General features: G+C 38.1%; 1 protein-coding gene across 7 annotated transcripts in view; it reads left to right on the top strand.

Moving 5' to 3' along the window:
- The window catches only part of UBR5 (ubiquitin protein ligase E3 component n-recognin 5), a 160,428-nt gene that overhangs the window by 69,429 nt on the left and 77,003 nt on the right, over positions 1 to 13,996 (top strand). For 4 of the 7 annotated variants that reach the window (NM_001282873.2, NM_015902.6, XM_047421847.1 and 1 more), the window contains 2 exons: positions 588 to 799; positions 13,873 to 13,989. In NM_001282873.2, coding sequence (NP_001269802.1) covers positions 588 to 799; positions 13,873 to 13,989 — 329 coding nt within the window. The remainder of the gene's footprint in view (positions 1 to 587; positions 800 to 13,872; positions 13,990 to 13,996) is intronic. The other 3 variants (XM_047421849.1, XM_047421848.1, XM_024447179.2) reach the window with 1 other exon arrangement.

Genomic DNA, 13,996 nt, shown 5'->3' with positions numbered 1-13,996 from the left:
CTGGTTCCTCAGTAAAATTTAAGACTTATTCATAAAAATTCATCCTATAAAAATTACTCTAAACAAGGGCTTGGATTTTTAAAAACTTTATAATTAGCTTATATTAATGGATTCATAGTTTACCCTTTTTAGGGTTTTTTCTATGTGTGCATTTTTCGAGTTTGCTTATATACGTAACATGTTGAAGTTCTAAATTTATGTGCTTTTTAAACCCACCAGTAGACAAACGAGGAGTGTATATTTTCTGATATGTAAATTGAATTTATAGTACGCATTTCTAATGAAAGCCAACAATTTAAAATTCTTTAAAAAAGAACCAAATATACTTCAAAATAAAGCAGTTCCACTCTAAAACCATGTAGTTGAAATATACAAAAGTCTGCCTCTAATTTTTTAAAATACTAGTTATAATTTTTATACATTCACTTGAAAGGGTTGATGTTTTGAATGTTGCATGTCAGCCTTATTAGATATACATTTACATAAATTTTTATGAGTAGATAAACTGCTGTTAGTTGCATCCTGAAGGGTCTTTACTAGAGAGTGGCTTACTTTTATCCCACTGGTGTGACCCAATTGCATACCAGTTCTCCTTCTTCCCTTAGAGAGAGACTCTGAGCTGTTGCGTGAACGTGAATCCGTTTTACGTTTACGTGAACGAAGGTGGCTTGATGGAGCCTCATTTGATAATGAAAGGGGTTCTACCAGCAAGGAAGGAGAGCCAAACTTGGATAAGAAGAATACACCTGTTCAAAGTCCAGTATCTCTAGGAGAAGATTTGCAGTGGTGGCCTGATAAGGTATTTGGAAAAAATTCACACTGCTTCCATTTAAATGGATCCCTGACAACCCCTCCCTCTAAGGTTTCCATTTTATTTATTCTGGTTTTTGTACTATCACTCAAGGAAAAACACAAATATATAAAACAATATTTTTGTTTTGTTTTAAAATATAGATAGAATATATCTTTATTTGGCACTCCATGAGTCATCTCAGTGAGATGTATTCAGTGGTGCAACGTATCTTACTACTTGATAAAGTAAATCAGAGAAATTAGGATGTTAGTTCTAGATAACACATCAGCATGCTATTCCAGTACTTCTTTTCTGGTAATAATTACTCCAGTAAGTGGTGTTACATTCCTTGGTAGAAATTTGTTTTGTCAAATTTCTAAAGTCAGGTGGACACCAGTTTCTGCAGGGCATGTTTTTAGTCATTGATACAGCATGTATATCATGACAAGATTAGGGATCTGTGTTCTTTGATTAGTTAACTATGCCATTTAATGGCAGTGAGTTCTGACAGATTCTTTGCGGTGAATGCTGTGGGAGACAAAGCTGACTGAACAGGAATGGGCTAGGGGAGTTATGCTCTGTATCCTGAGGAATAGTGCAATGACTGGATTCTAGAAAGCATCTAGGATTTGGTAATTGATTTGAATCTTTAAAAATCCATCACTGCCATAAGTGAAACAGAGTTGATGTATCCTGTTGATGGTATGTATGTAATTGATAGTTCATCTTCAGAGGCTCCTATTGGAACCCATGTTTTTCGCTTGTTTTTTACTGCGTCTGTTTCTTCTTATTTCCAGAACCATTTGGGTAGGAAATTTTCTAAAGCAGAAATAAACTAAAAGAAGATGGGAACTTTGGGGCCCCACTAGCAGATAAAGAGAGCCTGATATGGATTTCTTTTCTTTCTTTGATTTAGAACTTGAATCCGGGATATTGAAGGCGAATATTATTTAACTTTCCAAATTTACGTTTCCATGGTTACTGTGAGTCTTGTTGTAGTTCATTTATTTTCCTCTGCATTCAGCTCATGTGGCAAGTTTGAATGCAAGAAGGAACATGAATTTTAATCAGTCTCTTTGGAAGCAAAAGGTTATTCTGTTTTCTTTGGCAACTGCCAAACTTTCCCTGAATTGCATTCTTTTACTTATTTCCCTAAAACTAGAAATGTCCCAAGTTCTACTTTTACTTCATATGGTAGGGACTGATTTAAACCATTGGGCTTTTACTTTTTTTTTCTTTTTGTACATCAATTACCGTTTCCTATTTCTCTTGTCTGGATCATGTTAGAGTTGTGTCTATTTCATATTTGCAGGAAGTAAAAGAGACTCCTGAATTATGTTTTAATAGGGCCACCACGTATTATTAATCTAGGTTTGTCATGTATTATTTTTGATTAATGAAAGTATTTCTGAATAGTGTAAGTTTAGCAAGCCTAGCCATTGTACCCTCTGTTAGATTTAGCTAGCCGTTGTTGGCCTGGCTAAAAATATGATAGATATGTTTTTAAGTATACCTTGTTTTTAGAGACAGTTGTAAGTGCATCATGAAATCTTGGCACTGTATAGACTTTTAGTGCATTATTCCTTGGTTTGTTTAGCCACCGAGTGAATGGAAGAAGAGCGGTATGTGAAACAAAGTATATCCTACCTATATTCTTTTTTCCATTAAATACCAAATTTAAAATAGCAACATGGAAAAAACTCTTTTTACTAGCACATGATGGAAATCTAGAAATTCATACTTGAATTCTGGGAAAGAAAACAGCTTAAGCCTTTAATTAAACTGTTAAGCATTATCATAGTGATCAGTAAATACCATTAGGTGCTTGTTTGCAGGGCTGAATGCTACAAGAGAATGTAGAGAGCTATTAAAGGGAAAGAAGACCTTGTTTTTATGTAACTTTAGGAAAACAAAGTATTATACAGGGGCGCAGGATAAATACCATGTGAAGAAACTGGTAATATGTGAGACTTATATTGGTTTCTCAAAATTAGTTAGGGGTAGTGATTCCTGAGGAGCAAAAGGTTTTGGGGGAAGGCTTGATAGGGAATAGAGAGGTAGGTGGAGAATGCAGGGAGATAGGGTGTCAGGATGCACTTGGTATTTACCATTGGTGAGAAGAGGTACCAGCACCAGATGAGAGTGGTCTGCCAAGAGTAGGGGCTTGTCTAATGAGGGGTCCATTAGGAATTCCTAGCTCAAGACAGTTTGAATGTCATGCTAAGGCTAACACTGGAAAACCAGAGCAGTTGCAGAGCATGCATCTATCATTTTATCTCCTCCATGCCACAGACATTGCTGCTAATTGCCTAGTACCTTGCTACTTATGGGGGCTATATTAATCACAAGATCGGATATTGAGCCTGTCTTATGAAACTTGTGAGGTTTAGTGCAGGAGACAGGTGGTGATTAGTCATCCAAAGTAATATTCTTAAAATGTGACTTTCCTTATAATCTTGATTGGGGTTTGCTTTTTAAAAAAAATCTTGGTAACTTGCATTATTTTGACTGAAAGTGTTATTTCTACGTTCTTGACATACCAGGCTGCTAAAGGATAGTCTCAATTTTGTACACAATAGTAAACTTGGAATTGGCTTGCCTCTGATCCATTCATTTTTATGGAGAAGGAAACTTCATGTCTTTGCTTATTTCAAATGTCTTGTAAATGGCAGATGCAGCAATGAAGTTTTTTTTTTATACGGGAAGGAGTAGCTTTTTTAGGAGTGGGGGCAATCAAAATATGCATCCTAGTTTAATTTCAGAAATGACCTAATACAATACTCTTAAATATTAAGTATGGTTGTTAGTGTCCATAGTAATTTTCATTTTGTCTTTTGTTAGGGTACAAGCTTAATTCTGTTGGTAAAGGAACTGGATTAGTACCTACTTTCCCAGCATCCATTTAGAGGAACAACCAGTTCTTCAAAATTTTACCTTTTTTTTTTTTTTGTGATGGAGTTTCGCTCTTGTTGCCCAGGTTGGAGTATAGTGGTGTGATCTCGGCTCATTGCAACCTCTGCCTCCTGTGTTCAAGCAATTCTGCTGCCTCAGCCTCCTGAGTAGCTGGGATTACAGGCACCTGCCACCACATCCAGCTAATTTTTTATATTTTTAGTAGAGATGGGTTTCACCATGTTGGCCAGGCTGGTCTTGAACTCCTGACCTCAGGTGATCCACCCTCCTCGGCCTCCCAAAGTGCTGAGATTACAGGCGTGACCACCGTGCCTGGCAGTTTTACCCTTTTGTAAGCCAATAAAATTATTTTAATGATAGGATGTTCTCTTTTCTTTAAGGTTTTGTGGTATAGTATTGAACTGAAAATATTTGAGGTGACTGTAAAATACACATATTTCCCAAAATTATTCTTGAATTAAATGTCAAAACTAATATAAAAGCATAATTGAAAATTATAGGCATCTTGAAAGTTCCATAAAGACAGAAGTAAGGGTCATTCAGTCATTATTACTTTAGAAACCTTGATTAAATATGTGCCATGTGTTAGGCCTTTTGTTAGATGTTAGGGTGAGAGATTTTATAGGAAGAAGAAAAATAATGTTAATTTGTTTGAATAAGTACCATAATAGGTTTCCATACATACATACGTAATAGCTACACAGTAGCACAGGAGGCATTGGGAAATCACAGGAGGCTGCACAGAATGATTACAAAGAGTGTGGACTCTGAAGTCAAACTGCTGGATTTCCTATCCTAATCCTACCACTGTCTAGTTGTGTGATCTTGATCAAGTTCTTTAACTTCTCTCTGCCTTGGTTTTCTCATATAGATAGATATAGTAATACTTTTTACATTATGGGTTTGTTATGAGAATTAAATAAGTTAGTTTATGTAAAGTGCAAAGAGCAAGGAGAAGCATGGTCCTGTCCCAGGAAGGGAGAACGGGCAGTTCCTGCAGGTCATGGGAGGGTGAGAGAGCCCAGTTGGGTATTTCGAAGTACGTTTATGTGGCACTTGTGTGTTATGTGCCAGGTTCTCTGTTAGTAGTGAATTGGACACAGACCAAAAAGATACAGATCATGCATGCCCCCTTTATCTGACTGGACTAGAATGAATTCAAGTTATGAAAACATTTTATTATAGTAATAATTTAGTGTAATAGGAAATTAAGGGCAGCCTATATGTACCAAAGTGAGAAGGGGAGGGAGTGCCTAAGTCTGTGCTCTAAGTTCAAGGTTATGATGTTCACAGTGAAACCAGCCAAGTTGATACTGGTTTCTGAAGGTTTTTACCCCAAAACATCAACTTTCTTATTATGCTATCCCTACTCCCTAAAATCTATCCTTTCTTGCTTCCCCTCCCTCTCTTCCCCCATACTCCCCGCCGACTCCTTTTTCCCGCTCCCTTTACTCACCCTTCTCTAGCCATTCTTTCCATCCTTCCGTCCATCCACCTTTCCATCTAACCATCTGTGCACCTACTGTTTTTTACTGTTTTTCTGGCTTGTATGACTGCTTATTACATTTTGCATTTCTGGAATAGCTTTGATAATTCATTTACTTTGGTGAGAAGAGGTAATCTTTTAATTAGGTGGTTGTATAACATGGCTCCATTTTCTCTTCTCAGTCATTTTTGCAATTTATTTTTTCTAGATTAGAAATTTCATAATATGTTGCTGAATGTCTGCATGTAAATTGTAATTATATATGTGTTTATACCAACCTACTTCCAACAAGAATCTAAACCAAACACATTTTACAAGGCCTAAGCCAGACAAAGACGCCAGAGGAAAAGAAAACCATAGGCTAATAATATCTTTGAACATTGATGCAGAAATCCTCCAAAAAAAATTCAGGAAACTGAATTCAACACATATCAAAAAGATATACATCACGACCAGGTGGAATTTATTCCTGGCATATGAGGCTGACTTTATATATACACATTAATCAATGTGATAGATCATGTTAGCAGTATGAAACCTGAAAATCACATGAACACCTTGATTGACGCAGAAAAAGCATTTGAAGAAGTTGAGCATTCTTTCTTGATAAAAACTCTTTAACAGTTTAGCTGTGGAAGGAAAGCTCCTGCATATAATAGAAGCCATATATGAAAAAACCCATAGCTAACAATCAACAGGGAGCAACTCAGAGCTTTTCCAATAATATTTAATGCAAGGCAGGGATGCCTACTCTTGCCAATTCCATTCAGCATAGTACTGGAAGCACTAATGAACATCAAACAAGAAAAAGAAATAAAAGACATCCAGATTGGAAAGGAAGAAGTACAATTATCTGTATTTGCAGATGACATGATCTTATATGTAGAACCCCCTCCAAAATTTCACAAGAAAACCTGTTAGAACTAATAAATTCATTAAAGTTGCAGGCTACGAGGTCAACATACAAAAATCAGTAGTATTCCTATACACAAATAACAGCCTAGCCGGAAAAGAAATTAAGAAAATAATCTTGGCTAGGTGCTGTGGCTCATGCTTATAATCTCAGCACTTTGGGAGGCTGAGGCGAGAGGATCTCTTGAGTCTAGGGAGCTTCATGGATGGGAAGAATTAGTATTTTTAAACTTATACTGCTCAAAGTAATGTACAGATTTATACATAATCTCTATCAGAATTCCAGTGGCATTCTTCACAGAAATAAAAAAGCAATCCTAAAATTTGTAAAGAACCATAAAATACCCCAAATAGTGAAAGCAATAATGGGAAAATTGGAAGCACCATACTTCTTGGTTTAAAATAGTATTACAAAGCTATAAGCAATCAAAACCATATGGTGCTGGCGTAAAAACAGAAACATAGACCAATGGAACAGAGTAGAGAGCCCAGAAGTAAATTCAAACATATATTATTAACTAATTTTTGACAAGGGCACCAGTGGGGAAAAGATAGTTTCTTCAATAAGTGGTACTGGGAAAACTGGATTTTCACATGTAAAATTGGATTCCTATCTTAGACAATACATAAAGATCGACTCAAAATAGACAAAAGACCTAAATGTGAAATATGAAACCTTAAAAACTATGAGAAAATATAAGGAAAGCTCCTTGACATTGCTCATGGCAGTGATTTTTTTTGGATTTCACACCAAAAACTCAAACTTCAAAAGGAAGAATAAGTAAATGGAGCTACATGAAACAAAAAACCTTTGTGTATAGTAAAGAAAACAGTCAACAAAATAAAAAGGCACTCTATAGACTGTGAAAAAATATTTGCAAACCATGCATGTCATAAGGAGTTAATATTCAAAATTTATAAAGCACACTTGAAGTCAGTAGCAGAAAAATAACCTGATTAAAAACCGGGTAAGGACCTTATAAGACGTTTCTTCAAAGAAGACATAAAAATGGCTAACAGATATTTGAAAAGGTGCTTAACATCAGTAATTGTCAGGGAAATGCAAATTAAAACCACTGTGAGATACCATCTCACACCCATTAGGATGGTTGTTATCAAAAAGACAAGAGATAGCACATGTTGACAGTGATGCAGAGAAAAGAGAACCCTTGTATGCTGTTGGGAACTAGATTGGTATAGCTATTATGGAAAGCAGTATGGAAGTTCCTAAAGAAGTTAAAAATAGAGCCACCATAGGACCCAGCAATCCCTATTATGTACGTACCCAGAGGAGATGAAATCATGCATATCTGCACTTGGGCCAGGCGCGGTGGCTCACGCCTGTAATCCTAGCACTTTGGGAGGCCAAGGCGGGTGGATCACCTGAGGTCAGGAGTTCGAGACCAATCTGGCCAAAGTGGTGAAACCCCGTCTCTACTAAAAATACAAAAACTAGCTGGGCATGGTGGCACATGCCTGTAATCCCAGCTACTTGGGAGGCTGAGGCACAAGAATCACTTGAACTTGGGGGACGGTGGTTGCAGTGTGCCAAGATCACACCACTGCACTACAGCCTGGGCGACAGAGCAAGACTCTTGTCTCAAAAAACTAACTAACTAAATAAATAAATAAATTTTATTGTGTATATTTGAAGTTTACAACAGGTTATAGGATACATGTATTTATATTGTTACTATAATAGATTAACACATCTATCATCTCACAGTTACTATTTTGTGACAAGAGCAGCTAAAATCTACTTAACAAAAATCCATAATATGATACCATTTTATTAACTGTAATCCTCATGACATAACAATTGCAGCTCTAGATTTGCATCCTACATGTCTGCTGTGTATCCTATAACCCCATTTTCCCTCCCTCACACCCCCACACTGCTTGTCAGCCCATGGTAACCACTGCTTTATTCTCTACCTTTGTATATTTGACCTTTAAAAAAAAAAAAAGACTTCACATATAAGTGAGATCACACAATATGTTTTTTCCCTGTGTCTATCTTATTTCTCTTAGCATAATGTCCTCTAGGTCTATCCATGTTGTGGCAAATGGCAAGATCTCCTTTTTTAAGCTGAATAATTATCCTTTTTTTCTGTTGTGTCTGTGTGTGTGTGTTTTCTTCATCCATTTGTCCATGAAGGACACTTAAGCTTTTTCCATATATTACCTATTATAAATACTACCACAGTGAATATGAGAGTGCAGATACTTTTTATTTTTTTATTTTATTTATTTATTTATTTATTTTTGGTGAGAGGGAGTTTTGCTCTGTTGCCCAGGCTGGAGTGCAGTGGCACGATCTCGGCTCCTTGCAAGCTCTGCCTCCTGGGTTCATGCCATTCTCCTGCTTCAGCCTCCCGAGTGGCTGGGACTGCAGGCACCTGCCACCATGCCCGGTTAAGTCTTTTGTATTTTTGGTAGAGACGGGGTTTCACCGTGTTAGCCAGGATGGTCTCGATCTCCTGACCTCATGATCTGCCTGCCTCGGCCTCCCAAAGTGCTGGAATTACAGGCGTGAGCCACGGCGCCTGACTCGGTACTGTTAATTAACATTAACTGGCAGGGCTTGGTGGCTCATGCCTGCAATCCCAGCACTTTGGGAGGCCAAGGCAGACGGATCACTTGAGGTCAGGAGTTCGAGACCAGTCTGGCCAACATGGTGAAACCTCGTCTCTACTAAAAATACAAAAATTAGCCAGGTGCGGTAGCGTGCACCTGTAGTCCCAGCTACGTGGGAGGCTGAGGTGGGAGAATCGCTGGAACGCAGGAGGCGGAGGTTGCAGTGAGCCAAGATCGTGCTGCTGCACTCCAGCCTGGCCGACAGAGTGAGGTTCTGTTTCCCCGCTAAAAAACATTAATATTCCTTACTGTTCTGGATCTATTTCTATCTAGTCTAGAGGAAACAATAAGTAGAATTATTCCCACCAGCCCTTTATATTGTAGAGTTGTATGTTACTCTGTTTCTTTGAATGGTGTTGAGAGGAAATGGATCCATTTCATTTGACCCCTTGTTTAAGCTCTTTGGAGCAACCTCCCTGTTGGAACCAGCTGATCAGACTTGTGGGTTATATTGCTTCACCTTCATTGTGCTTCCAACACTGAGGAAAATGAAGGCAGAGGATTCTAAAAGTGGAAGTTGGCTGGGGAAGGTCTTTGTTTTGTTTTTATTGACATCTGGAAACTTCCAGGATTAACTAGATGTGTCACAAATGTAATTTAATATGAAGTAAGAACAAAATGAAAAATGATCATAAAAAGGAAAAGAAACTCGGCAGAAAAAGCATATGGAAAAGCGGATAGGCAGAGAGAGATGAAGTGTGAATGGACACAGTTGGCCAAATTGCAGTGTATCTTGTAGTTGCCATCATTCCAATCATGATGTGCAGTATATTGTATTTAGTGATAGGAGTTGGAGCTGCTACCTAATGATAAAACCAGTGTTTGCTCATAGTAGAAAAAATGTGAAAACCAAGTTTTGTGGGGCAAAATTCAGGAATAGAGATGCCAACTTTTTCACAATATGAATTAGTAAACATAGGTGTGGCCAGTTAATAGAGTTGGTGTTGCTGGGCCAAGTGTTTTTTAAAGCTTTGGCCGCTATTTCATGTCTCATATTTTTAACAGTTTTCCTTCCCCCTTTGAGGAAGGATTTCTAGTTAAATTTATGACCCATTTATGTTGGACAGTTGCAGATTTACTGATTCAACTTCTTTTTGTTGAAAAATAGAGCTACAAACTACTGCTCTTTAAGGAAACATGCATAGCCACTTTCTCTAGTTGGATTGAGCAGATGTCAGCTTGCTAAGAAGCAGCAATTCGTACTTCATAAAAACAATAAAAACATTGTTTTCTATGACTTATGAAATGAATGAGCTAAAATACTGTCCTTGTGTATGTATTTGATTGTTTTGTATTTACATACAGTAAATTTCTTTAATACAGATAAATCTGAAGCAGGCAAGAAGTAGTAGGTGATTTTTTTGTCCTCTTCCTGTGGGTTCATAGTTGTGCTATTCATCTTCATTTGTCCATAGTGGGTTTTCAGGGCCTGTAGGGGTGTAATTGGCTCATCCAGGCCTTATCACCGTGGGGGACATTGCCCTATCTCTGAAAGATAAAGGCAAGTCAGTTCTGAGAGGGCCTCATGCACCATGCTCTTGCTATTGGGCTGGTTTGTTCAGGATTGTACTGCTCTAGTAAGGCATTTACCCAAAGAAGCTGGAGTTAAGATTCATTTGTTCATTCAACAGTTGGTCAGTGTGTTCCTGCTTTGTGCCATATACCAAGCTGGCATATGGTAATATAGTCATGAGTATGATATTGGCCTTTCTACAAGGAATTCAGTGGGGAACACAAACATTTACATAGAATGTAATGTGATCATAATGTGATCAGTGCTAGGCTGAAAGTATGAGTAAAGTGCTATAGGGGTTCTGAGTGGTAAATGACCAATACCACCTGAGAGATCTGGCAAAGGCATCGCAGAGGAGATAGCATTTAAGCAGCATTTTTAAGGTGAGGTGGGCATTGACCAAGGCACAAAGGTATTCCAAACGTATCTGGGCATGGGCCCAGAGTCACAAAAGGTCATGATGTGTTTGAGGAACCATGAAAAATTCAGAATTGCTGCTTTGTGGTGGGGAGTAGGAGAAGAGATGGGATGGAGATGACTAGACAGTTTGCCAAGCAAGAAGTTAGGATATTGTTTTGCAGCAATTAAGAAGTCAACAGAGTCCGTAGAGAAGTGACTTGATGTGATTGGTGGGGTTTTGCTTTGTTGTATTTGATTTGTTTTAAGGAGGTGAACATTACTGGCATGATGGGAGAAAGCAACAGGAAAAATCAAAAGTCGGTTATGAGAATGCTACAGTTGTTCAAGGAAATTGTGAGGATCTCAACCAAAGCAGGGGTATGGGGAGAGAGAAAGAGAAGAATCTGAGAGGAATTTGAGATCAGTTTAGACATGGGAACCTGGGAGCACGCCTCATCTCTTCCTTTTCTCTCATCAGTCAATTCGATTGTCGTGTCTCCCATTACCAGGTGGGTGGTGATGTCATTCATAGAGATAGGAACTACAGGGAAGGCACAGCTTTGCAGGAGATGGCGGATTCATTTTAGGGATGTCATTGTGCTTTTTAAGACAGCTGTAGGTAAGTCTGGAGATATGAGATTTACACATTTAAAAGCATGATGCTCTGGTAGATGAAGTCACTGAGGCTGAAGGTGAAGCACAATTTGAATACAGGGAGAAACACAGAATCAGTGGCAGGGAGTGCATGGTAGTACCAGGGAGATGGAGGGAAGACCATGCATGGTAGTGCCAGGGAGATGGAAGGTAGGTGGAAGACCAGTAGAGAATGGTGACCTATGAATTAGGGAGAGAAGGATGGGTTCCAGAACAGATAATGAACAGAGGCAAATCATTTGAAGAGTTTAAAGAGAAGATGGACTGATTACGTACATTGAGCATTGATTTGGCAGTTGGAAAAAATGTCATGTCCATCACTGAAAACTGGTAAGGTGAAACATATGCCAGGCAGTAATTCACTTTACCATGTTAGGACTGAAGGAGAGATTTGTTTGGATGGTTGTTGGGGGATATGGGAAGGAGTTGCATCCAGTGTGTCTGTGGGTTATCTTTAAATAGGAGGGGAGGAAAACACTTCTTTCTCTGAGATGGGGAGAAGGGAGGAGGTGAGAATGGTGCTTTCATTAAGCAAATCTAGAGCTAGGAATATTGAGGAAGCCCCTGCCTGAGAGCTATCATTTTCTGGGTGAGTCAGAGATGAAGTCAGGGGAGGAGATTAGTCATAGTCGAATTTGATTGAGTGCTTATTTGCACTGGGCTCTGTGCTGTGTACTTTATCCAGCTGACCCTTGAACTATGAAGGGGTTAGGGGCACCCACTCCTCATGCAGTTGAAAATCCACATAACTTTGACTCCCCCAAAACTTATTATAGCCTCCTGTTCACTGGGAGCCTTAGCAACAACATAAAGTTGATTAACAACATATTTTGTATGTTATATGTAGTATATACTGTATTTATACAATAAAGTAAATTAGAGAAAATGTTATTAAGAAAATCATAAGGAAAAGAACATACATTTAGTATTCATTAAGTGGAAGCGGATTACCATTAAGGTCTTTATTCTCATTATCTTCATGTTGAATAGGCTGAGGAGGGGAAGGAAGAATTAGAAGAGGAGGAGTTGCTTTTGCTGTCTCAAGGATGGCAGAGGCTGAAGAGAACTATAAGCAGACCCTAACAGTTCAAACCCATATTGTTCAAGGGTCAGCTATATATGTTACTCCGTTTGGTTTTTACCCTGCACTCCCCTCTCCCTTACCATGATTTGCATTACCTTAATACCCATTTTAGAAATGAAGAAATGGTTTCAGAGAAATTGTATAGTTTACCTGAAGTCACATACTTAATAAGTGTTGGATCTAGGTTGGGGACTCACTTAGTCTGATTCCATTATAGTTAATTCTTAACCGTAGGATTGAGAAGAGAATATGAAGTAGAAAGGTAAAATTTGATGCAGTTTCTATGGAGAAAGTCAGTAATGGTTTGTAGACATCCATGGTAAAGGTAAGGGAAGAATTGCTAACTTGGAGAATTCCAAATTTGGTCTCTTTTCCATCCCCCAATAAAAGTGACTTGAAAATAGGAAAATAGGTTTGACTGGTACAGGTAAAATAGACGATTAAAATTAGTATTATTTCTGTACAACACTAAGGCATAACCTGTTGTTATTGTGTTATATTAATAAATCTTGTAGACTTTACAAGTTTTAGCACTATAACGTTACCATCTGACCAAATAAAATTGAATTTTGACAGAAAAACCAGAAAGACACCATTTGTTTATCATACCCTGGAGCCAGAATCCCAAAGAAAATGGAGAAGTACTGTGTATAGACCAACAGCATTTTTGCAACCTAAAATCCGTTACTGGCAATTTTTGCTGTGAGATTTCTAGGTAGCTTTGTGGCTCTGATCATTTGTTTTATGTTAAAGAAAATTATTTATTTACATTTATTAGCCAAGCTTTTTATAATTTAATTGCATTCCAAATCATTGCATGTATGTCAACATAAAAGTGAACGAATGATTACCTTAAATATGGGCACTTGTTTCCATAGCTTGAAAGAGCTTACAGGGAAAGAATCTTTTGATTTGACATCGTTTTTCTCTGTTTCAGCTCCGTATTCTGTTTTTCTTTTTTTCCCTTCACTCATTCAGCACATTGATTGAGCACCTACTTGTACGCTAAGTTCTTAAGTTACAGTGGTGAATAAGACAAAGCTTATACTTGAGTGAGATAGTGTATAAACAAATAAATATGTCAAGTTGTGAAGTGCTGTGGATTAAAAAGAAAGCAGTGTAAGGAACTAATGTGAGAGTGGTGGTTCTGTACATAGTGTCATCAGAGACAGTCTCTTGAGGGAGTGTCACCTGAGAAAGAGTAACACAGACAGAGGGAACAGCAAGGACAGTGGTCCGAGGGTAGGAAGAAGACCACTGTGACAGGAAGAAGGCCAGTGTGAATGGAGGTGAGTGAGTTAATGGAGGGAGCCAGGGCCACCTTAATTGGATACCTTGTAGGCTGTGCTAAAGACTTCGTATAGTTGTGGTTTATGTGTTTACATAATTAATCTAGATCTGATGAAGTGATTAAAGTGACAGTGTTCAAATCAGTAGATTTGGCAATTTTTATATTTATAGTATTGTATTTTACTTTATAGGATGGAACAAAATTCATCTGTATTGGGGCTCTGTATTCTGAACTTCTGGCTGTCAGCAGTAAAGGAGAACTTTATCAGTGGAAATGGAGTGAATCTGAGCCTTACAGAAATGCCCAGGTATTTT

The sequence above is a fragment of the Homo sapiens genome, chromosome 8, assembly GCF_000001405.40.
Source record: "Homo sapiens chromosome 8, GRCh38.p14 Primary Assembly".
In the NCBI taxonomy this organism is placed as follows: Eukaryota; Metazoa; Chordata; class Mammalia; order Primates; family Hominidae; genus Homo; species Homo sapiens.
Note: the sequence above shows the minus strand (reverse complement) of the source record. Positions and strands in the feature narration are given on the sequence as shown.